Source organism: Homo sapiens, chromosome 2, assembly GCF_000001405.40.
Source record: "Homo sapiens chromosome 2, GRCh38.p14 Primary Assembly".
NCBI lineage: Eukaryota > Metazoa > Chordata > Mammalia > Primates > Hominidae > Homo > Homo sapiens.
In genome coordinates this window covers 63,585,738-63,611,526 of record NC_000002.12, presented here as the reverse complement: position 1 = coordinate 63,611,526, position 25,789 = coordinate 63,585,738, and the positions used below count along the sequence as shown (strand labels likewise).

Sequence of the window (25,789 nt, the reverse complement as noted above, 5' to 3'; positions counted from 1 at the left end):
AGGTACTTTCTAATATATTTTTCCCCTGGTCAACATTTCTTGAGAAATATTGTGGCTGGTTTAATCAAGGTATTGTTAAAAAAAAGTGGGGGGTTAGAAAGGACAGTTAAAATGGTATTAAATGTACATATAATATCAAATCCAGAAGGCTGCTGCTTTCATAACAAACTAGATTCAACAGTATTAAAAAAAATCTGCTGTGTTTTAGGAATTTATCCTGCAGATACACTTGTACATGTATGAAATAACCAACTTACAAAAATAGTCCAGCATCTTTATAGTAGTAAAAGATTGAAAAGAATCTAAAAGTCCATCAATAGGAGACTGGCTAAATAAAGTTTGGTATATCCATTCAACAGAGTACTACATAACTTTAAAAATGAATGGGGTGGCTCTGCAGGTATCTATATAGCTTTTATGGTTTTTTTTGAGACAGGGTCTTGCACTGTCACCTAAGCTGGAGTGCTGTGGCATGATCTCAGTTCTTTGCAACCTCTGCTTCTGGGGCTCAAGTAATCCTCCCACCTCAGCCTCCCAAGTAGCTGGAACCACAGGTGTGAGCCAGCAAACTGGGCTAATTGTTTTATTTTATTTTTGTAAGACGGGGTCTTGCCATGTTGCCCAGGTTGGTCTCGAACTCCTGAGCTCAAAGCGATCTGCCTGCCTGGGTCCCCCAAAGTGCTGAGATTACAGGCATGAGCCACTGTGCCTGACGCTAAGTATCTATATAGCTTTAAGATGTATTACTAAAGGAAAAACACAGAGTGCAGAACAGTGTGTTATAATTTATGTACAAAAGGGGATGGTTACATGCACACACATATATTTACATACATACTTTGGTTATGCATTGAATGTTTCTGAGCTATAGGCCATGGGACAAAAACAAGGCTTAAATGGGTGGGAGTCAGGTGAGCAAAGAACACTTCTTTTCACTATGTATTCCTTTTTTTTTTTTAATTCTCAAAATAAATATGTGTATTTTTTTCCCTGTAAGGATAAACAAAAATTTGGTTTTCATTTAACACCATTTCATTGATTTTCTAATGTATATATAACTTTTATTTAAATTATGATTTAACTGGCAGTGGAATTATAGGGTTTTTCCCCCACTCCTTCTTTATGTTTTATTAGAATTAAATAAAGCTGCACTGGCTATCCACTTGTTGTTCAGGAAACATTACCAGGGTCATGATCTGCAGAGGTCAATATTCCCTTAAGGTTTAGGTTTATACAGATTGTACCTCTTTTGGAAAGCTTCTTAATCTAACTTTATTGGCTTAAAATGTAATGTCTTTTGCCCTGTAATGCATCCATGTATCATTTCCTCAAGTACTAGTAAAAATGCTTAGGAAAGGCATAGGCTTTTCACATATTATCATGCTGCTTGAAGACACAACTTCCTGGGCCTGGACTCCATTAAGAGAAGGAGCAACAAAATGCTTTGTTCTCTTGGTAAAGGTGATGGAAGTGAAGAGCATTAAAAAAATGGCATAAAGAGATAATCAGTTTCACAGTGTGAATATTCAAACCGAAACCCATGCTTCAAAGGCAAAGTTGGTGAAAAATTACTTGTTTCTACAAGTAATCTAGATCTCTCCAATAACTTTCATATATACATACTTTCTTCATATAACATTTTCTTTTGTTTTTTAAAAAGACAATCTTGCTCTGTCACCCAGACTAAAGTGCAGTGGCATGATCATGGCTCACTGCAACCTTGACCTCCCGGGTTCAAGCGACCCTCCCACCTCGGACTCCCGAGTAGTTGGGACTACAGGTGTGCACCACCATGCCTGGCTAATTTTTTATTTTTAGTAGAGATGGGGTCTCACTACATTGCTCAGGCTGGTCTGCAATCCTCCCACCTTAGCTTCCCAAAGTGTTGGGATTACACGCATGAGTCACTGCACCCAGCCAAGATTTTCTTTTTAATTCTACATGAAATTAGTTTTCATGCTTCCAACTAATTGCTCTTCTAAAGATATGTTTGATTCATTTGTTTTTTTCTTTTCTGGCTTATATAAAGTGGATAGAAGGTAATGATAGAGGAAACCAACAGGAAGGAGTAAGAGCATGTTTTCTTTCTCTTCTGCCATCCAGTCCCCCTCTAGTACCCTTTATTAGTGTGTGTATATATATATATTTTGTTGTTGTTGTTTTGTTTTGAAATGGAGTCTTGCTGTCACCCAGGCTGGAGTGCAGTGGCATGATCTCGGCTCACTGCAACCTCCCAGGTTCAGGTGATTCTCCTGCCTCAGCCTCCTGAGTAGCTGGGATTACAGGCATGCGCCACCATGCCCGACTAATTTTTGTATTTTTAGTAGTGACAGGGTTTCACCATGTTGGCCAGGCTAGTCTTGAACTCCTGACCTCAAATGATCTGCCCGCCTCGGCCTCCCAAAGTACTGGGATTACAAGCATGAGCCACCGCGCCTGGCCCATTAGCACATTTTTAACAAGGAGCAGCTGGTAAAGAAATGTGGCTTGCCAAATTCCAGTCCTAATGTCACGAGAATATAGAAGGGAGTGTTTGGAACTGAAAGAAAATAACAACTGGTACAATTCATACTTACTTTATACAAAATTTTGTTCATTCTATATGAAATTTTGTTTTTATGCTTCCGATTAATAGTAGTCCTAAAGGTAGTTTTACTCAACTTGCTTTTTCTTTTCTACATCATAAAATGATCTAGGTAATTTTTAATTTTTTAAAAAGGAGATGGTCTCGCTCTGTTGCCTAGGCTGGAGTGCAGTGGCGTGATCCTAGCTCACTGCAGCCTTGAATTCCTTTGCCTAGGTGATCCTCTTGCCTTACTTTCCGGAGTAGCTGGGATTACAGGAATCCACCACTGCACTCAGCTAATTTTTAAATTTTTTTGTAGAGATGGGGTCTTGTTTTGTTGCCCAGGCTAGCCTTGAACTCCTGGCTTCAATCAATCCTCCTGCCCTGGCCTCCCAAAGTAGTAATTTTAAATAAGTCCAACCAACAAATATTTGAGCATCCATGAAGAGTACTATGTTAGGCCTGGAGATATTTATTAATACAATATTGCCTATTACATGTGGACAGTGTGTTAAGCATGAGGATGAAAAGATAGAAAATGCCTTCTGCCATCATAGGTTTGGGGAAAAAACAAGACTATTAAAAAAACTCCACTATTTTTCTAGTAATAAGCTTAGTTTATTACTTACTTCTAACATCATAACACTATGCTAGTGTTACTCCTAACACTAGCATAAACTTCTGTGGTATTTAGTGGTTTTGAAATATAAATGATTCCTTATCTGCTAAAAAGTAATACCTCCAGTGAAAACCTATTACCATTTTTTTAATATAATGAAAATATTCTAATTTCATCCAATGGCATAACACTGTTAACAATATTATCTGCAACTTATTTAATATTAGTAGCTAGCCTTAAAATCAAATTATCTACAAAGCGTAAACCTTTAAGATTTTAAAAATATGGTATTTGTTCAACGTAGGTAATGTTTACAAATATATGCTGAAATAGACTGATTCATTATCACAAGGTGGGTTTCTATATTCTATTTAAATACGAGATTTATGCTTTATCTTTCTAGCCTTACTGCCTTCCCCTGGTTAAAAAAATGTATATATATCTATCTCAAAATTATTTAGGCAACCTGGGAAACATTCGAGTTTGTTTTCTTTTCTTCTTTTTTTTTTTTTTTTGAGACGGAGTCTCGCTCTGTGCCCAGGCTGGAGTGCAGTGGCGCCATCTGCTCACAGCAAGCTCCGCCTCCCGGGTTCACGCCATTCTCCTGCCTCAGCCTCCCGAGTAGCTGGGACTACAGGTGCCCGCCACCACGCCTGGCTAATTTTTTGCATTTTTAGTAGAGATGGGGTTTCACCGCGTCAGCCAGGATGGTCTCGATCTCCTGACGTAGTGATCCGCCCGCCTCTGCCTCCCAAAGTGCTGGGATTACAGGCGGGAGCCACCGCGCCCAGTCCTCTTCTTTTTTTTGAGACGGAGTTTCCCTCGTAGCCCAGGCTGGAGTGCAGTGGCGCAATCTTGGCTCACTGCAACTTCCGCCCCCCGGGACAACCTATTCTCCTACCTCATCCTCCCAAGTAGCTGGGATTTCAGACCTGTGCCACCACGCCTGGCTAATTTTTGTATTTTTAGTAGAGATGGGGTGTCACTATTTGCCCAGGCTGGTCTCAAACTCCGGACCTCAGGTGATCCACCCATCTCAAGCTTCCCAAAGTGCTGGGATTACAGGTGTCAGTCACTGCGCCTGTCCGCAAGTTTGCTTCCTGAATAGACACTAAATATTAGCTAGAAACAGAGTCTGAGTCACTTTCATTTGAATATATATTTATTTAGAATGCACACTAACAGCATGACGATAAACTGTCATTCACAAACCTGTACCAAGAAGCACGTAATCTTTAAAATGTGTTGTTTTTCACAAGTAATTTAAGTATAGCATTATTATTATTTGGTACTTGAGTCAAAGACGACATTTAGATTCTTCAGCTTTGAAGCATTTAGTAACATCATTGTCTAGTCAGGCAGAGGAAAGAAATTCAAAAGCACTTTCTTTTTCTTCTGTCAGTTCCTTTGCAGTAAGATCCATCTTCTCACGTGAGAAATCATTAATAGGGAGACCTTCAACAAACTTCCAGGTCTTATTCTGTTTGAAAATAATGCAAATAAGAGATTTAAACTGGAACTGATCTTTCAGTAAGCAACAACCTTGTTTGAACTTATATTTAGAGGTATATCGTTTTAAAGTCTGATTCTAAAGTAAATAAAAATCCAGATTTTAATTAATAGATAATTCTAATAAAAACTCAACACTTGAATTTTAAACCCCTTGAATCTAAAAAAAAAAAACTTCAAAAATGACTGACTTTAGCACAGTTATAATAAAGAACAACAACACTGAAAACCATTGCTTCATTTAGAAATATACTATTTGTAGGTCTCTAATACTAGAGGCATAATAACATAGTGTCTAGTGGGAAGAGCTGAATCTTCCTTTCCAGATTAATTTCAATCATAAAAACTTTCAATGACCTGAAGCTGAAATACATATAGTTTTAAAGCTGAGAAAAATGTCTATTTTAGTAAAGGAACAATTTTCTAGATTAAGTGATAACATTCTGTTTTCTTTTTTGGGGGACAGGGTCCCGTTCTGTTGCCTGGTGGAGGGGTACTGTCATGGTTCACTGCAGCCTTGATCTCCTAAGCTCAAGTGATCCTCCTACCTCAGCCTCTCAAGAACCTAGGACCACAGATGTGTGCCACCATGCCCGGCTAATTATTTTATTTTTGCAGAGAGGGGGTCTCACTATGTTGCCCCGGCTGGTCTTGAACTCCTGGGCTCAAGCAATCTTGCCACCTTGCCCTTCCAAAGTGTTGGGATTATAGGCGTGAGCCACTGTGCCTGGCCAATAATACCATTCTTAAGAGAAACATATAACTACTTCCTCAAAGAAGGGAAATAGCTCCAAAATACCTTACCTTGATTACAACAGGGAATGAGTAGAGCAGATCATCAGGAACACCATAGGAGTTGCCATCAGAGATAACACCCATGGACACAAACTCTCCCTGAAAATAACAATGTTTCACATACTCATGATGATTAGTTTACACAACTGACACATGAACTAATAAAATTAAACCAGGTGACCCTTTCTTACTATGTTCATAACATCATTACTGTGTAAGGAACTATCATCAGCACCAGGTACTGGTGACAAGGTAACTTTCATGGATATTATTTCATTCCACGCTTCCATATCATATGTGAAGTAGGCCAGGGAAACCTAATCCTCATTTTACAGATGAGGAAGCTGTGGCATAGAAGAAAAAAATTCACCCCTACTATGTATCAGGCATTGTGCCAGGTGTTTTCCATGTGCAATCTCCTTTAACCCTCACAACCCTGTGTATAATAGTAATGTCATGTAAAAGATGACAAAACAGCTCAGAAAGGTCAAGGCTAACAAACCCCGAAGTTTACTTGTTAATAGGCAGCTGAGCTGAGAAATGAACCTAACCTGACTGACTGCTAAGGCTATATTCTTTTTATATTATATCATCAGGCAACAAAAATAAAATAGAGTGACCTGTGCAAATCACTAAATCCTTACCTCTGGGGTTCCAAACCAGATGTCCCTGACGTGGTCACAGATGGCTTTTGCAGCAGACATGGCACTGGATAGTTTTCGAGCCTTGATGACAGCAGCGCCACGCTGCTGCACAGTCTGGGAAGGGGGCAGGTGAAGGCAGCAGTATTACTTGGTCATGATAGCAAAGTTTTCATTAATTCCAAGTCGACCTTGGGGTGAAAAGCTATGACCAGAGCTTAATGTTTCCCCTCCAAAATCATGCAACAACCCAATGTCAGCCTTACCAATCCTTCTGGAAAAAGGAAACTATGTATCTCCATACAAAGTTTATCATAGGTCAGACAAAGACATGGATCTTGGTATAAATCTCAACTGCTGTCACATCAGATCACACTAGATCATGACTGGCTTACTATGATCCCGAAAGTATGCAGTCATCAGAGCAACTGTGAAAGACCTGCCCTCTTTAAGGTTTTCTGTCCTAAGAGTCTCTCAAGAGTTCTTTACGCTCAGTGTTAAGAAGGCTCACAGATTTTTCTTACCGTGACAAATTCTCCCTTGAGCCAGCTGTCATCTTTCAGAGCTTCATAAACACCAACTTCCTTTCCTTGCAATTTCACCTTGGCATGGTTGACATCTGGATACTGAGTCGAGGAATGGTTTCCCCAGATAATGACATTCTTTACATCATTAGCAGTCACACCAAGTTTAAGAGCAATCTAGTTAAATTGAAAACAAATACATTACTGAGACAAATGGTTTTTATTTCCAATTGGGACCTGTTTTGACAAATGCCCTTAAATAAAGATAAAAAGCTTCTGAAATTTCAAGAGAACACAAGAGTTATATTGACTTGTAAAAAATGTAAATTTATTGCTTGGCAATTTCCTACAACAGCTTAACAGTGGTAACAACTGTGGACTTGAAACCTTATGGAGTAGAATGTTTAAGGGTATGAAGCATCCCATAGTTTGTGGTTAACTTATTAGTACAGTAGGTGTATCAAACATAAAACATTAATCGTTACTATTATTTATCAATTTACTATTTCTTGAATATGTAAATGTGATCTTTTGTTTCACTGTTAATGTTTACTTGGAGATGTCTTCTCAGTGCTTCTGAGTAATCAGGTATTTAGGCACTTTATATTTAGGTAAAATTTTTATTATATACCATATAGAAATTAATTTTCAAATAACCCTAAATATGAAATTTTAGAGTTGGATAGGACTCAAATTACCAAGATATGACTGTCCTCATTTTATATATCAGGAAACTGAAGGAAAGAGGTTTTATATATGTGTATGTGTGTGTGTGTACACACATATATACACTCTAAAATTATAACATATGTAACAATCTCTAGCTATAACTCCAGAAAGCACTTTAGGGTCCTGCAATGCCTTGCAATCACATGTAGTACAGTAGCCACAAAAAAGGTTAGAAAGTTATGTCTTGGGCTGGGCATGGTGGCTTACGCCTGTAATCCCAGCACTTTGGGAGGCCAAGGCGGGCAGATCACCTGAGGTTGACAGTTCGAGACCAGCCTGACCAACATGGAGAAACCCTGTCTCTACTAAAAATACAAAGTTAGCCGGGCTTGGTGGCACATGTCTGTAATCCCAGCTACTTGGGAGGCTGAGGCAGGAGAATCGCTTGAACCTGGGAGGCGGAGGTTGCGGTGAGCCAAGATCGCACCACTGCACTCCAGCATGGGCGATGCAGCGAGACTGTCTCAAAAAAAAAAAAAAAAAAAAAAGAAATGTCTTGGTAGATTTAAATAAAATCAGCCTGCTTGTTATTTGTCTGATAAGTTTATGTGCAGAAAATAAATTATGATCAGGTATATGTATAATTTGTTCCTAACTAGACAACAGAATTTATGATGAACCAGAAGGGAATGTGGAAAAATATTTTAAGAAGCTGATCTGTTTTGGTGACATTGTGGGCAATTCTTCCTTCCTCTGTGTCCCAAAAAGAATGGGAGAAGAAACTAGTTGTGCCAGAGTCTGTAGCTTTAGCACACATAAATAAAGCATTTGAGTATTTACCATGTAAGAAAAGGAATACACTTTGATATTTTAAGGAAAATTTTAAAATAAGGGTAATAACAGCTCCAAACTGAAACAACTCAAATGTCGTTCAAGAATGGTTAAATATGCCAGGCGCGGTGGCTCACACCTATAATCCCAGCACTTTGGGAGGCCGAGGTGGGAGGATCAGGAGGTCGAGATGGAGACCATCATGGCCAACACGGTGAAGCCCCGTCTCTACTAAAAATACAAAAATTAGCTGGGTGTGGCAGCGTGTGCCTGTAATCCCAGCTACTCAGGAGGCTGAGGCAGGAGAATCTCTTGAACCTGGGAGGCGGAGGTTGCAGTGAGCCGAGATCGTGCCATTGCACTCCAGCCTAGGCGACAGGGCGAGACTCTGTCTCAAAAAAAAAAAAAAAAAAAAAAAAAAAAAAAAAAAAAAAAAAAGAACGGTTAAATAAACTGTATTATGTCTTACATAGGCAATGGAATAAATAAAAGGGGTAAGTGGAAAAACAACAAAAAGAAACAAACAACAACCTGGATGGATCTTAAAGGCATTAAACTGAGTGAAAAAGAGCCAGTCTCAAAAGGTTCCTTACTGCATGATTCCACTTTTGTAAATTCTCAAAATGACAAAATTATAGAGGTGGAGTGCAGAAAAATGATGTCAGGGACAGAGGGTGGTGTGACCATAAGGGAGAGTATGAAGGAGTTCTTTTGTGAGTGATGAAGAAATTCTGTACCTTGACTATGGGGGCAGTTACAGGAATCTACACTTGTAATTAAATGTCATAGAATCATTCATAAAGACACAGAAAAAAATAAGTGAATATAAAACTGGTGAAACTTCAGTAAGTCTAGTTAATAGTATTGTGTAGTTCATCAACTTCCTGGTTTTGATAATACTCTGTAGTTATGTAAGGTACCATCAATGGGTGATGGGTACATGGGCCTTCTCTGTACTATTTTTTTGCGACTTTTGAGTCTAAAATTATTTCAAAATAAAAAGCAAAAAAAAAAAAAAAAAAAAACCCCAACCAACCAACCGAAAAGGATAAAGATGAAAAAAAAGGCCATTACCTAAAATGTCTGCAATGACTCGACTGGTCTTCATACTAATTTATTCAGTTAAGTAAGAAGTAAACTGTCTTTACTTTCACTCCCACTCTTAAACTAGTTGAGACTGCTTTCTTAAATCCTAAAATAGTTAAAAGTTTACTTAAAAATTTATGTTTGTGATATTGTAAATCACTTTTGACCGATCTAATCCCTGCAAGTCTTGCAAGTATTAGGACTATTATCTACAATATTTGCATTAGTCTCCACAAATTAGTTCACAGTTGGGTTTCTGGGGTACCCAGCTATTGATCTGCTTAGCCTGTGGGATAGGGTAGAGTGGCACGCTGTTCAATGAGTACCATTTTTTACGTCTGCCATGACCAGAAAGAACTGGGGAAGAAACTGCTCTTATATTTATACTTAAATTTAGCTGGTATGGTATATAGAAAAAGATAAATTTATACCTTGAACAATTAACTCAAGATATATATTACCAGGAAGTTAGAGCCTATAACTTCCCTGAATGTCTGCTTCAATGCTCCCAAGTACAGTGAAGACAAAATGCCTCTAGGCCTCTCCACCCTCAGTCCTCCTTGGCTCCCATGCCTTCCTTTGTTCTTGTTGCCCTCCTCCTCTTGCTCCTTCTATCTCTTGAGCTAATCCAGTTCTGTCTGGACAGCAAAGGCCAGGTACTTTGCATCCAGCAGATATAGTTTCTTAATATGATTCATGTCACAATTAGTCTAAATTAATACATACCCAGGATAACAGCTCTTTGCTCCCTTAGACACTCATGTCTGTCACATAGGTCTGTTAAAAGTTTTTGATTAATTCTCCAGCCCTAGTAATTTTCTTACAAGCTAACTGGTATCATTGTCAAATTACCTTATCTGGTATCAATGTCAAATTACCTTATCAGCAGACATAAATACAGCACTGGTTTGCAAATACACAGGCAAGTTCTGCAGGTGTTAAACAGTCCCTAAGTCGCTAAGGCCTCTGAATTCCAAGACAAAAATATCTAGCAACCAGTCCTGTAAGAAAAACTTATCTTTGGGTTTGTTATTTTTCTCACTGGATAAACAACTTCTTCTAGAGGAAGAAAGTGCTTCTTCAATGACTCCCTAAAAGCTCTCACTATGCCAGATTGACATGCTGAAACAATGCCTAGCCAAGGTCCCAGGAGTAACAAAGAACATGTCCCCAAGTGAAGGTTAAAGTCTGAGGAGATAGCACTTTCTTTCCTCTTTGCTCATTCAGACTTGAGCCCTGCAGTGAGAACTGTTTCAGGCACCAGGACAAAGTATCTCTTTGAAGTACCTTTGGAAGCAGAATTTTCCAATGCCTGTCTCCACCAAAGCCTCAGGTGAAACAACAAAAAGTGGTTGTTAGTGTCATTGTTGTAGGAACTTTCTTGTTGTAGGAACTAAATAAGTCACTTTCTGGCAATCCAGAGTTTGCAACTGTAACATGTATAATATCTCTTCCTTTACAACTGTCCCACAGAACTCAAACTGCCTGCCATTCAAACAAACTCCTATTCGTTCTCAGCTACCACCAGACCCAGCTCACAGCCTATAGCCTCTCAGGGAATATTTGCACTTTAAGCTAAAAATTTAAGGGTTGTTATCCAACAACCCTCTAAATTAGGAATGTTTAGGCTGTATGCTTCTTAGAAAGAAGAAATCAACTAATAATAGCAGCCAACCTTTCTTGTATTTACTATGTGCAGGCACCATGCTAAGGGCTTAAAACAGATCTTATTTAATCCTCATAAGAACTCTCTGAGGTAGATACAATTATTACATTTTAAACATTGAATATACTTTCTCAAAATCACAGAGCTAGTAAGTGGACTAAGGTTAGTTGATACCATTAGGTAAGAACATACATAAGGGTTTGGAGTCAGGCAAATCAAGGTGGCTCCGTAATTTATGAGCTGTATGACTCTGAGCAGGTTCTCTGACTTCCCTGGGCCTCAGTTTTCTTACCTAATGCAGGGATAATATGAGATACCCATATGGTTACTATAAAAATTAAATGGAAAATTACATGTATAGCATTCAATTTACAGTAGATGCTTAACAAATGTATATTCTTTTCTCTTTCACTAGGCATTCCAGAGCTGAAGGATTATTAATTCTCAGGTTAGGGCAGTAGTGCTTCAGCTTAGACCTCACAGCATCTTCTGGTTAACAACAATTTTTTTTTGAAACTAAAGTTATCTTCTCTAGAAGAAAAAGCACTGAACTCATAGACCTATCTAGCAGTGATGACCTACAGACAAGAAGGGATGGCCAGAAAAGCATTAGGGCAAAGGAAAGAGGTTCTGTCCAAGAACGGGCACCAGGACCAGTTAGATCTGAAAAAGCCTAGGAAACTAGCTCAGATCAGTTGCCTGGCTTCTAATTTTTTGAAAAGCTATTGTTAATTCCCTGGTCACTGGCTCCTTGGCATACTTATCTATGGCTCTAAGAGTAAAGAAAATTAGCAACAGACTTTAGCTCCTAAGTAGTGAAAGGAGGAAATTTTACAGATACACATAGAATATTAAAAAGACATAAAATGAAAATTAAATATAAAATTAAAAATTAAAATCTGAATTTGATGGCTTAGCTGCAGCTAAAATAGAAGCAGAACCACACAATCACACAAAGCTCAAGTCTTTGTTTATATGAGATTATATGTATCTGAAAAAATTAAACTAAATTATGTACCATCATGTATAACTAATTTTTAACCACTGTAACAAGAGAACATTAGTAACTGCATTTCATTATAGTTAGCAATTGAAATATAGTTAAAGACGAAATCAAGTAGGAAGTCCAGCCTCTGGTCCTTTAAGAGAATACATTTAAAGACTCCCTAACAAATGAATAATAATTTACTTTTAATTTAATAAAAGTAATAGGTTCCTACTAAACAAAAACAAGAAAAAAGCACAAACTCAGATTCAGTTATTTTAAAAGTGAGAGAAAAATGTTTTAAAGTTGAACAACCACAAGATTTAAAATATATTTTTCTTACTTGAGCTTTAGCTCGGTTGTGATCCAAACGAGTCAAGCAACTGAAGTTCTCCTTGGGGATGGATGGAGCTGACTTGGAAGCAGTCAGGCAGTTGGTATTGGCTGGATTACCCACAACAATAACCTAGGAGGAATGGAAGGCACTGAAGAGTTACAGACTATATAGTTACTAACTAATCTATGTTAAAATTTGACTGAAAATGTCTAACAGGTAGCCTTTGTACAGGGGAGGCTTGGGAAACACCAAATACAATATAGCATAGGAAAATGCATTTTAAGTTATAAAAATCTTTTATAAAATGGTAATAAAAAATTTTGAAATAATATCAGATTTATAGAAAAGTTACAACCATATTACAGAGACTGACTCCCATATATCTTTTTTTTTTTTTTTTTTGGTACCTCTTTTGACAAGCTGTAGACAAGATACTTCATTGTCTCTAAGTAGTGCAGTGCTGGCAAATATTTCTCACGAACAAGGACGCTTTGAAGAAGTGGAATTACTGTGCAAGGAGTACTTTACCTCCAAATAGCCTGCAATTTAGCAGTCTGAACAATCTTCTAATCTTTTACTGGCACCTGTGGATTTCTATTAAACTCATTTATACTATTTTCTGTGATGACAGAAAATAAGTTAACTATTTAAAATGAAGTGCACAGAAAGCAAAAAATGCAGATATCTATGAAATGTTATTGATAGAACATTATAATGGGCAACTTAAAAAATCTTAAAAAATTTTCTTTCACCTTTTTTTGAAAGATAGGAAAGTATATGGAAATCAGTTAAACCTTTAACCGGCAAGCCTATTTGCTGGGTGACAATTAAGTTCTAGTTAATTGATAGTTCACTAATAAAAGAAGGTTTGGCTGGGCGTGGTGGCTCACACCTGTAATCCCAGCACTTTGGGAGGCCAAGACAGGTGGATCACCTGAGGTCAGGAGTTCGAGACCAGCCTGGCCAACATGGTGAAATCCCGTCTCTACTAAAAATACAAAAATTAGCTGGGTGTGGTGGCGTGCAACGGTAGTCCCATCTACTCACGAGGCTGAGACAGGAGAATCGCTTGAACCCGGGAGGCAGAGGTTGCAGTGAGCCAAGATTGCACCACTGCACTCCAGCCTGGGTGACAGAGCAAGACTCCGTCTCAAAAAAATTAAAAAAATTAATAAAAAATAAAAAAGGCTTACTGTAATATTAAGACATATTAGAATCTAAAGTAAATAGTTTGAACACAAAGAGAGAACTATAAGTCATACTGACTCAATTCTTCAAGAGACAAGCATATTAAAATTCCTCTGCATTAAGAAAATCTGAGCATTCAGAAACCACTATCTTCTATTCCTGAGAATAAACTTACCTTACAGCTAGCTATCTCCTTTCACAATCACACACAAATTTAAATGTCTAAATAAATATTCCCACGCAGCAAAAATGCACCAGAAGATCCTGTGCCTTCTCTATATGTTTAAGAACTAATACTAAATTTTCACGTTATACTAATAGGAAAAATATTTTTGAGCACTCTGAATATAGATTTCTATACTGTAAGAAAAAACCCAGAAAGGGAGAGCTTATCAAGCAAAACTCTAGAGCCGTATTTACTGATGATTGTACAGAACTAGAAAAAAGGGCAAATAATTTTGGTTTTGCTTAAATGCTAAAAGCATAAGTTTCAAATGCTAATAATGAAAAATCCCATAAAATACAGCATTGGTCACCTTAACTGACTTCTTGGCGTATTTATCTAAGGCTGCACCCTGGGATTTGAAGATTTTCACATTTGCTTTCAGTAAATCTTTTCTCTCCATGCCTTCCCTTCTTGGCATGGAGCCCACAAGAATGGCCACATCCAGGTCTTTGAAGGCAACGTCTTCTTTATCTGTTGCGATGACATCTGTGGACATGGCAATAAATACGCAGAGCTACTTAAACATCAAAGTTTGAAGTTTTCTTTTTCATATTGAATCTACCCATTAATTCTTTCACTTGTTGCAAGTGTTTACATATCACACTGATATACATTTCAGGAGCCTGAGAAAGATAATATATTAATTTAACAATCATAACATTAGAAATGTCAATAGATTTATTTTGCTTTTCCTGTTTCAATAATTACTTAAATGTCAAAACTCCATAGCTTTTATCTTTTATAATCATATATGATGCAAGGTATAATGATGACTTTTGAAGTGACACTTGTTATTCACACTAATTACCACACAACACAAAAGAGCAACTAATTCACCTAACCTTTAAATTACAATTACTTTAAGGTCTAAGACACCAATCACAAATTTAAAAATAATAAATGTTTATTGAGGAGTTTTGTGCCAGGATAATGCTAAGAGATTTATATTACTATCAAATTTAATCTTCTGATTTTATAGATGGAGACACTGAGGTTTAAAGAGATTAACTCGCCACCATCAAAAGATAATGGAGCTGTAATTCCAGCCTAGGTTGGTCCAGAGTTCAACCACTATGCTCCAGTGCTAGTACAATAAGCAAACATCACTTGCTTTTTGACTAAAGAACATAAGTCATCGCACTTCTTTGTTGATTGTATTAAAAAAGCTATGACCAACATTCAGCATTTTCACTGGAAAATTGGCTAGTTGCATCATAGTCAAGGCTGCCATAAGTCTGAAAATGGGCATAGACAGGAACACCAGTTGGAGAAAAAAAAATTATCTTCCTCTTTCCCAGTCACATGTCCTTATTTGCTGAACTTTCCCTTCCCTGTCATATTCATATCTGGCAGAGGACAAACCAACAGCAATCTGGGCCCTTTAGAGAAAAAGCACAGGGAACTCAGCAGAGAAAGGAATACAAATGGGAAAAAGCAGCAAAGCTGATTTGGAAAGAGCTGTGGGTGAGAAAAGGGAACCAACAGAATAGTGTGGGCAGTCATGTATTCTTCCACAGAACTTTGCAACCAAAAGACTTAGATGGCAGAGTATCCCTTCTAGCAAATGTTTATTCAACAGATGAAGAATTTTAAGGAAAGTTTTTCTTGGAAGGTATGTATTATTTTGCTTTGTGCAAACTTCTAGGAGAGTATCATTAATTAATCCTTACCAAAAGAAAGACTATGATGAAGAAATAGCTGAAGAAAAATATTTAAATTAATTTAGAATATTTTAATAAACTTTTCGATCAAATTTAAGGCTTCCTTATTATATCTGTGTTATAGTTCAATGATTTGCAAAGGCCCTTAGCTGAGCTCTTCTGGGTTTTTTCAAACTATAGAGCATATGGTAAGGACAATTTACACTATGTCTCAACCTGATGATTGGTAGATGGGATGGGGACCGTGTAAGAGGAACCAACCAACTTCCAGAGCAATGTATAGCTATGAAGGACATCCTTCAAAACTGAGAAAGTTTTCCATTACAGGATGCTACTATTACCAGTTAAGCAGACTCCATAACAACACAATGTAGACAATTCCTACGTTGTCTATAATGTGTGTGTGTGTAGACAATTTCAGGTGTATAACCCTTGTGCAATATTACACTTAACTGGTATAATAAATTATATACACACACACATTGGGGAAAAAAGGATAGTCCTTTACCTGACATTGATTGTTGCTCATTTCTTACCCTTATTTATCCTTGGTATACATAAGTAGTTAATAAACAGTGGTAGTTCAAAATAAAAAAATCCTCTTATGAAATAATTTCTAATTGAGAGCCTTTAACAAAAACCTAAAACCTGTATTTTGTAAGAAATCAAATACCATAAAATCCCTTCTCTACTCCCCAACCCACCTTTCAGGAGGGGAAGGGCACAGTCTTGCAGTTCCATTAGGACACCGTCCAGGACACCCATCATGGGGGTGATATCCAACAGCACAAGAATTATAGGCTACCAAATAGCAAGGACAGCATCTGTTAGTGTAGGCTATTTCATTTAGACACAAGAAAGTCTTTTCACATAGTTTTTATTTGGTATGTACATGCATGTAATTCCCATTAATTAGTCATGATGATTATTTTAGGAGGTCAGGTATCTAGCACTATGCCACTTTCAGAAAGAAGGATGCTATAAAACCAGCATTGGTTTGCTAACAGACACAGTGAGAGGAATCACCACTACTCAATTTTAACAGTATATGAAAAAAACATTAAACTGAGTGACATGCTATAGCTTGCTCTTATTGTTAATAGCTGTATATTTGATTTCAGTTCATGGAAAGCTAAGTACAGTATCTGACATGAAAGAATAATTCAGTATCCATGGGTCAAGAAACTGAATAAATGAATACCTTAGAAAAGGATTTTAGTGTATATTAATCAGGCTTGCTGGAAGTCGGAGTGCCTGCTTCAGCGGGGAAGCAGATTTCCTTACTCTTTTGGTTCCAAAGGCCATTTATGAACAAGGGAGTGCTTACTGAGTAACTCTCTCCCACATGACTGTAAGTTACTGTCATTAGTGATATCTCCCATTGACTGACACCTGCTGGTTGCACCAAGTCAACTGAGTACAATATATGGAAGAGTTCTCATTTGCAAAGTGTTTTCAGTGCCTGGAGGCGTACATATAAATACCTTAGTAGCTTCCATTTATAGCAATGTGCCTATTACATTTACTGGGATTACATATTCCTTCACTGTTTAACAATTTGTGTACAACTAAATACAGATTTTTATTAACCATATTCTTACTCTAATAACTTAAGATTTATAGACACCTGTTCCTACCTGATCTTTACCAAAGACAGATCCATTTCCAATACTGTACAGCAGTGAATATGCAATTTGACCAGCTGCTCCAGTCACAAGGACTCTGATTGGTTCAGACTGTAATGAAAAAGACCCATTAACATCTTTAAGTACTACTGTACCTTAAAAATATCCAGGATTTTAATCTATAGTAAGAAATCCACATACTTTAAAAGTGAATGTAAAATTTTAAAGTCCTTTTGCATCTGGCTCAGTAGAAAATGAATGTGCTGCATATTTACGTGGTGTTATTTAACTCTCACCATGTAGGGAGCTAAAAGTGTTATCCTGGATTTACTTACATAATCTTATCCACCTTTTTTGGGATATTTTACCACTAAAATAGGCTCAACAATGTTGATGTGTTCAGTATGTGGTGATCCAAACCCTGGCAGCCACTAGAGCCACACAAATCCTTATTATGCAAAGCCCCCACTCCCATCTGCTCAATAGAATCTTCATACCAAGAAGAAGAGTGAAAGAGGCTAAAACTTTCCATTTACATTGAGCCAAAACATTTAAATAAGACAATTAATCGTGCTTCAACTTTGTCTGGAGGAGGAAAAACAAGATTTTTTATTTCGGGAGAAACAACAGCAACATGTAGTGACAGACAGCTGACAACCTGATTCCAAGGGAAAATTATTTTTAAAAGCAAGGAGGGAAGACATACAAACAGAGATTTCAACAGTTCCTGAACAAAATACAGACATAGAAACAAAGATAACTGATATTCAAAGTGATGACTCTGAGTAAAAAAAGACTAAGCTGACAGAATTTTAAAAGATAGAAATATATCTATTAAAAAGAACAAAACAATAATGTTTAGAAACGTAATGGGTAGGTTTAGTTAGACAGAAAAATTCAGTTAAGGTGAACCATTCCTTTCCCCGATAATGCTGGGTAAATGTACTTCCACTGTCACCTTTACCCCTACCTGCATGGAGAAATGGTCCACTGATGTGACTAAGCCCAGAAGTGTTTGGTTTCTTTTTACTTAAAGTTCCTTCTTCCAGATGAGAGTCACGTCTCTGAGACGAAACAAGGATGGATAGCCTCGAAGGCTTCTTTCAAGCTTCTGACACTAAGCTCTGAAAGTTAGCAGCACTCAGCAATTTGGTACTCACTCATAGAAGTCAAAGAAAAAAAAAAATTTCAAAAAAGAAGTGTCAGGCCAGGGATGGTGGCTCATGCCTGTAATCTCAGCACTTTGGGAGGCTGAGGCAGGCGGATCACCTGAGGTTGGGAGTTTGAGACCAGCCTGACCAATATGGAGAAACCCCGTCTCTACTAAAAATACAGAATTAGCTGGGTGTGGTGGCAGGCATCTCCCAGCTATTTGGAAGGCTGAGGCAGGTGAATCACTTGAACCCGGGAGGCAGAGGTTGAGTGAGTGGAGATCGTGCCATTGTATTCCAGCCTGGGCAACAAGAGCGAAACTCCTTCTCAAAAAAAAAACAAAAAACAACAAACAAAAAAAACAAAAAGTGTCAACTGGTGTAGAGAAATGAATTTGATCATAGCCAACTACATACTACACAATTTTTTTTTTCTAATTTATTACTATTTATAGAAAAATCTTTAATGGCCTACACGTTTTTCATTCTGTCATTTTCCCTTCTTTCCTTGAAGTAGAGTAGGTGAGGAAAAGGGAATACAGGAAGAAATTATTACTCCCTTTCCCTTTAGAATACGAGATCCTTAAGGACAGGAACTTTGTCTATTTTATTTACTGCTGTATCTCAATTGCCTAGAACAACACCTGTCCTGTAGTTGGAACTCTGGTATTTGCTTGAAGGAATAGCTGGGTCCTGTAAAACTATCAAAAAGATGGAAATGTATAAGAACTGTTTGAAAACATATGTAACGTGCTTTAAAAAATTTTTTAAGATATTTTATTTATTTAAGCTATTTCAGGCTGAGTGCAGTGGCTCACACCTACAATCCCAGCGCATTGCGCGGGGGGACAAGGCGGGTGGATCACTTGAGCCCAGGAGTTCGAGACCAGCCTGGGCTACATAGTGAAACCCTGTCTCTTAAAAAAACAATTTAGCTGGGTGTGGTGGCAGATGCTGTAGTTCCAGCCACTCAGGAGGCTGAGGTAGGAGAATCACTTGAGCCTTGGAAGTTAAGGCTACAGTGAGCCATTACTGTGTGAGTGCACTTCAGCCTTGGTGACAGAGTGAGATCCTGTCTCAAACAAAAACTTTTTCATATATACTATGAAAACAAAAGGTATTTTATTCATATATATTATGTATTGAGAAAACTGGAAACTTAGTGACCACAATAGTTCCAACTATAGCTAACAAAATTGTCATTAGTACTAATGATATTACCTTATAAATCCACTGATGAACTGTTTTCTCATTTAATTCATTCATTAAACAAAACATCATTAAGTTCCTATCATGTACTTGGTACTATTTTAGGCCAGGGAATCCATTGGTGAATCACGTGAAGGAAACAAAAAGGATACACCAATTTTCTAAAACAGGGGGCTAGAGAAGCAGTAGAGAGTAGTAATTAAAGAGATGGACTCTGGAGCCAGACTTTCTGTGTTCAAGTCCTGGCTCCACAACTCATTAACTGCATGCTCTAGGACAAGTTACTTAACCTTTCTGTATTATTTCCCCATAGTAAAATGGAGATAATAATAGCAATTACCTAACAAACAGAGTAGTTTTAAGGATTAAAAGAGTTAACACACAAAGCACTAAGAACAGTACGTAGTGAGTATTTATAAATATCATCACAGAATTTTCCTCTAAAGACTTTAATAGCCTGTGGTTTTCTATTTACATTTCTGTTGCTCTGTATTAGGCCATGAAGCGCTCTTGAGAACAGTCTGTCTTTGATATGGATTTGCATTTCCACAAAAAGTATTTGTTGAATGAAGGAAGGTTAGGGTATAAAGTATGAACAGATACTACTTCAATGAACAGCAAACTAGGATAAGAAAAGGGGGGCTGAAGAGAGTGAAGATCACTATCTATTAAGTTTAACTTCCCATAAGGTCACCTATATGGTTAGAATAATGCAGTCAATTTTAGTAGCTACTTAAAAACATGTTCACAGTATCACAGTCCTTAGTGAAGGGGTTGTGGCCACCTAATGAACAGTTAATTCCACCTCAGCAGTTTTCTTCTGTGTCTTTGGGGAAATTACTTTCCCAGGTAGGTAATTCCATCTTATTAATGGTAGTATGAGGCTTAGTGTTTGAATGTCTGAAGATGAAACAGAGAAAGAAAAGTCCATGTATGGTTCTTTCTGCTCTTCTGCAACATTGCAGTTGAAAAGCAGGAGGGTGGGAGAGTCCTGCTGACTTTCACAATGTTATAGTGTGAACATAGGTTACTATTCTTTGCTCAGATATCTGGGCAGTGTGCCAAGGTCCAAAAAAGGAACGTCTTTGCTCTTAGCAGGGCACCAATGACTTTCCTGCAGATGCAGGCTCTGTGCTAACTTCTCAGCTATAAAGATTGAATTTAAGTGTCTGTTATTCCACAGACAGAGCCACATATTTCTTTTTCACTTTCAAATTTATATATATTTCTAAATTACATGTATTTCTATAACACAAAAAACTAAGCAGTACCATTTAGATTCCTTCATACAGTTTATTTTGCTGTCACTCCCTACAGACAACAAGCAAAGAATCCTCCGCTTTGAATGAGCTTACAGAAGAAGGCTCTTTTCTAACTCTGTCCATTCACACACCCTCCTGAGGGGGCAGGGAAATTGAGTCATGTGTGAGTTTGCTGTCAGTTCCAGCAAACTGCCAGACAAATTCTTCCTCATGTTCTGTCTCTGTGTTATCTGGCACCCCAGTGACCTTCCAACGGTGGGGCCTTGCTAGGGAAACTAGCTAAGAATCTGGGGCCCAAAATCTCTGTGACCTTGGGAAAATTATCTGACCTCACCAGACTACATTATAAGAGTAGATAATATAATCTCCAAATTCCCTTTTAATTCTACAATTCCAGTATTTTGAATGGCAAGGAATAAAGCTATCAAGTAATCTACATGCTGATAACATATTTGAGTTTGTATATGCAGTATGAACTGGTAACTTCATCCGGAATCTCAGCTAGTAAAAATAAGTTTTCAGGGAGTTGAGTACACTGTCTCTCCCCCGCTGCGAGACCTCACTGCGGTGGTCCCTATAAAAATAAAAATTCAGAAAGACTTGGTAAGTGTAAGACACAATATAGAAAAATGGCAAGAGTGTGAGACTCTTGGAGCAAATCACATTCTCTTTGGGTCTCGATAAACTCCATTTTAAGATCTGAAGTGGGGAGATTCGTCAAGATGACCTTTAAAAGATCCCATTCAGTTCTAAAAGCAAAAAGTCCAAGGTTATCAGATAATAAGTACCTCTGCTTTCTAGCTAAGGTTATTAGGACAGAAACTACCGAAACCATAATTTAAATGACTAATTATGTGACAAAACATTTAGGAAACCTAGGTTTAACACCTACTGGAAATTAGTAGCTGTCTCCACTGGCCCCGTTAGACAGGCAGAGAGAGTAATGCCCTTGCCTTGAAAACGTGTCTTTTCAGGTTCTGGGAAATTTCCAATTCATTCAAACATTTCTCCACATTCTCCAGCCGTTTTAGTATTTTGCAGATAAAGTAGGAAAAACAGTCGCAACTATAAATACAAGCCATTGTATTGATAGTATGAAGCGATTTCTCTGAGTTTGATGACAAATGTCACCTTCAAGCAGTACGCAGATTATTCCTACGCCAGAGTTCCTTCACCAACTCTCCCCCTCCCCCTCTCTTTCAGCAGAGACAAGCGATGGAGATGCAGGTTACCCAGGTCTTCCATGACAAAATGGTTACTCTGTTACATTTAAGAGAGGTGCTTCTGGAATTCACAATATACAGTTCAATAAAGAATATTTGCAGTAGTTATTTAGTTAGTGATGCTGTCACTTCAATATATCCTGGCATTACAAAAAAGGTCAATGAACGGGTTCCAAATAACATTTTGAGAAATTAGATATGGCGGAAACACGTCTGCTGCAAACGCAGATCGTAATCTGGAGCACCTGGTAAATACTACCTTTCCAGCTTTTTGCTTTCAAGGTCCCTGTGACAAAAGCCGTTATAAACACTGTGGGCAAATGAGGAGAAAAAGGGGTTAGGACCCAACCTTTCCCTCCCATCGCAAACCTTATCGTCCTTATCAAACACCGTAACGTCCTTTGGAAAATAGCTGCAGCGTCGCATTTTGTCCTCCCGTCATGCAGCAGGATTAAGATCGCTCCTCTCCCAGGACAACTACTTCTCCAGAGTCCTCCTAAGAGCGCCCCATACCCCGCAAGGTGGAAATCAATCCCTTCCCATTACTGGGTCACTGCGGCAATCCCCAGAAGATGAGTCCGAGCTTGCCAAAGGGCGCGAAGGACAGTGCCTTGCACAGCTGCCTCCCAAAAGTCCCTAAAGTGCAAGAAACCCCACTCAAGGGCGCGAGGGCCAGAGGTGGGCAGGAACCCGGGGCCCACACTCACCATGATTGAAAACTGCGGGGACAATTTCAACAACTGCAAAATGAGCCTCAGAGAGTCAGGTCACCTCTACCGCGGAACTGACTCGGAGAGGGCGAGCGGTGTTAGCGAGAAAAGGCTCCGCTCCCGACGCGGCGCTCTCTGGGAACTGTAGTTTACGCTGCCCTGGTTGTGGCGCAATCTCCAAAGCATTTCCTTCAAGTGTTGAACTACACTTCCCGATACCAGAGGTTTTTTTCAAGCTCTTCTCACTGCGCTCTGCGCCGATTGCAAAGTAGTCCCTGAGGATGAGCCCCTGTGATTGGAGGACGACAACAAACGGATGGTTTGGGCTCAGGAGGAAAGGACCTGCCTGATGGAGCCCGGCAATTGGCGGGAGAGATAGCGTGTGTAACTCTAGGGAGGGGAGAATCACCCCTTAGCGACATCACCCCCACGCGCGTGACTGAGACTGCATCCTCCCATGAGGGTAAACGTGGGAGGTAAAGAGACCTTCCGCTGCGTAAAGCTGGATCGACCCGGAAACAAAATCTTTTAAAAAACGATTGACACTCTGGAGGGGCGGGGGAATTGATAAGTTGGGACGACCGGACAGCTTCTCAGGTTGCTAAGCGACGAGGCGGGAGCGCACGCACACCCTGGCTGCTTTGTAGCACCTGAGGAAACTGTGGCGGCGGCGGCGGCGTCCTGGAGACCCAAGAGACCAAGCGAGCGTGTCGCTCCCTCTCGGGTCCGAGGACCTAGCCTAGGAACCTTCTGCCCGGGGTAGTGTCTGGTGATGAGGCGAGAGTTTTGCTGGGACGCCTACTCCAAAGCGGCCGGGAGTCGCGCTTCTTCCCCACTCCCGAGACAGGTGAGCCCTGGCCCGAGGGCAAGGGGTTTTCTTTTAACCTTAGGATCCGGAATGCGGTTGGTGCGCCGTCCCGCTTTGCTTTTATCCGCTGTGCGGATGCCTGCAAGCTCGCCGGTCCCTTTTCTGAGCGGAGTATGAGGGCTGTGGGAATGCAGCTATTTTGGAGGGGGTGGTGCCCTGGAGTAGGTGCACCCCCGACCCCAAATGGAGCTCTTCCAGAGTTATATCAAAAATATTTATTGAGCATTTACTTTGTAGGAGGTGAGCCTCTCCCTTCCAGGAGGTCACAGTATACGGTTCTAATTTGCTCTAAGCCCTCCGTGAATGTTGAGTTTTGTCCATTCCCTTTTGGAAGAAACAGGATGCGCCTTAAACCATCTTGAGTCTTAAAGTTATGCCAAACAGGCATTTCTAAGGAAAGACTGGCGACTGAAGGGGAGACACTGGTTGTTTAGTCAGTCAGTCTCAGCTGGTAAAACAACTTAAGAGGTTCTCTTTAAAATTAATGCTGCCAAGAGAATTGCTGTGCTTTTTGAAAGCTTGTTTCTTGTGGATGTTAAAAGGAAGATATGATGCTCGGGAGTAGCATACACAGCATATACGTAATGAAAATGAATAAAACATCTCTATTAGATAACATTGTTAGAACTTCCGTTTTTTCTCTGTCACTGATAAATGAATGCCAAGTAATATCTTTCAATTTTTCTCTATTTCAGTTTGGAGGATTTGCTATTTTTGGAAAGAAATGTAATGCTTTACTTTTAGCATTTATTAATATCATACCTGAATGACTCTCCTTGTATCTCTTTATTCATTTGGCTCTCAGACAACATACTTTCCTGGTTTTCCTCTTTTGTTACTGGTTCTCAGTTCTGCGGAGTTTCTAAATTTTTTTTAGTTGTGATCTCTTAACATTGGGGTGCCTGTATTCTCTGTCTATACTAAATCCCTCAGTGAGCTAATTCATAAGTTGCATCACTTCAAATGCTACTTTTAATGTCAAAAACTCTCAAATTTATGTGTCTAGTCCTGAATTAGTAGGTGTGCATTATTCTCAAACCTAGGTTCTCTGAGTTTTACTTTTTACTCTGAGCAGTTACGAAAAATTTCTTCCATTATCCTCCTAAATGAATTCTTCTACTAGCTGCTAACAGAAAGATTTTTCCATGTTGTTGTCCTTAAAAATATCATGATTTTACCTAATGTAAATGACGAGTTAATGGGTGCAGTACACCAACATGGCATGTATACGTACATATGTAACAAACTTGCACGTTGTGCACATGTACCCTAGAACTTAAAGTATAACAAAACAATCTCATGATTTTTGTCCTCGATTTACAGTGAATTTTACAAGGGAGACTTTTTATAACCAGAATTCTCACTGCAGTCCTATAGCAGGACAGGACATTCCCATACTCCAAGAAGGCCACAAACATGTAAGCCCCCGTATTCCCATCCAGTCCAGATATACAGAATTGAAGTCACCTGTGTGGTAGTTCACGGGCCTTGTTCTGTTTATTGCTAGTTGCCCTTGTAAATCAGGTTAAGGAGCATATTAGCACTGATTGTAAGTTACTTTTCTCAGGTAATATAATACACTGCAAGAGAAGATGTTTGGTAAGGTGGGTATATCAGCACATTTCCAATTATACTAATAAGATTGTCTGTGTTCTCTTCCTTTTGAACCGTCTTTGGTAATAGCTAATGTCAAGTAGCACAATATGTCATTGCACTTTCACTGTGAGTTTGAATCTCCAGGTGGTTTGTGAATGTGTTGCAGACATTCATTTTTTGTTAAGGCAACAAACAGAGCATTAAACTGTTATGCTATATTTGGAGTTATGCTTAACATTTTTTTTGCCCAGCCTCGCGTTATTTAGTAAGGTAATATTTAATTCAAATTGTAGAAAATGTTTGAAATACCATTCTAACAACATCCAGCAAAGATATTAAAGGATCATTAAGTTTCAAATCTCTGAAATAGAATGTTGGCTCTTGATACCCAAGGCACTTTGGAACTCACAAGATCTTATGCTTTTTTATAGTATACAATTATTTAACCACAGCTAGGCGTGGTGGCTCACACTTGTAATCTCAGCACTTTGAGAGGCTAAGGCCGGAGGACTGCTTGAGTCGAAGAGTTTGAGACCAGCCTGGGCAATATACTGAGACCTTGTCTCTACAAAAAATTTTTAAAAAATTAGCTGAGTGTGGTGTTGTGCACCTGTAGTCCCAGCTCCTCAAGAGGCTGAGGTGGGAGGGTTGCTTGAGCCCAGTAAGCAGAAGTTGCACTGGCATCACTGCACCCCAGCCTGGGCGACAAAGGGAGATCCTGTCTCAAAAAAAAAAAAAAAAAAAGAAAATTATTTAACCTCATATTAATTTTATCTCTAGCATATATAAAATTGTTATAGATCTAGTTAAAACTCATTCATCTTAATGTTTTCTTTAATGAA

The 25,789-nt window shown here is 38.7% G+C and overlaps 2 protein-coding genes across 24 annotated transcripts in view, besides 2 other annotated features; one reads left to right on the top strand and one right to left on the bottom strand.

The window, feature by feature from the left end:
* WDPCP (WD repeat containing planar cell polarity effector) overlaps positions 1-25,789 on the top strand; it is a 721,268-nt gene that overhangs the window by 229,300 nt on the left and 466,179 nt on the right. For 15 of the 20 annotated variants that reach the window (NR_148705.2, NR_148704.2, XR_007076380.1 and 12 more), the window contains exon 1: positions 23,050-23,330. The exons of the other annotated variants lie outside the window; for them this stretch is intronic. Coding sequence is in view for 9 of the 15 variants with exons in the window: in XM_005264348.5 (XP_005264405.1) it covers positions 23,256-23,330 (75 nt within the window). In the remaining 6 variants the exon portion in view is untranslated. Of the gene's footprint in view, positions 1-23,049; positions 23,331-25,789 lie in introns of those variants that run through there. 20 annotated transcript variants of the gene reach the window in all.
* On the bottom strand, positions 4,330-22,564 carry MDH1 (malate dehydrogenase 1). 4 transcript variants are annotated; one of them, NM_005917.4, is made up of 9 exons: positions 22,481-22,564; positions 16,941-17,039; positions 16,008-16,104; positions 13,953-14,128; positions 12,235-12,357; positions 6,655-6,831; positions 6,134-6,247; positions 5,499-5,588; positions 4,330-4,665 (listed from the first exon to the last, which is right to left on the bottom strand). In NM_005917.4, exons 1-9 carry the CDS (start codon positions 22,481-22,483, stop codon positions 4,540-4,542), a joined length of 1,005 nt encoding a protein of 334 aa, NP_005908.1. In that variant the 5' UTR covers positions 22,484-22,564; the 3' UTR covers positions 4,330-4,539. The 4 variants fall into 3 exon arrangements, with proteins under 4 accessions (NP_005908.1, NP_001303303.1, NP_001186040.1 ...); NM_001199111.2 differs by lacking the exon at positions 22,481-22,564 and adding an exon at positions 22,143-22,381; NM_001199112.2 differs by lacking the exons at positions 16,008-16,104; positions 22,481-22,564 and adding an exon at positions 22,143-22,381.
* Positions 22,534-22,853: an enhancer, noted in NCBI's record as "active region_15877". NCBI's record gives its function as "activates an Ori minimal core promoter by ATAC-STARR-seq in GM12878 lymphoblastoid cells {active_cell/tissue: GM12878}" and the evidence as "EXISTENCE:reporter gene assay evidence [ECO:0000049][PMID:35858748]".
* Positions 23,365-23,885: an enhancer, noted in NCBI's record as "H3K27ac hESC enhancer chr2:63814776-63815296 (GRCh37/hg19 assembly coordinates)". NCBI's record gives its function as "activates a minimal SCP1, AML or CMV promoter by ChIP-STARR-seq in naive H9 embryonic stem cells {active_cell/tissue: H9 hESC(naive)}" and the evidence as "EXISTENCE:reporter gene assay evidence [ECO:0000049][PMID:30033119]".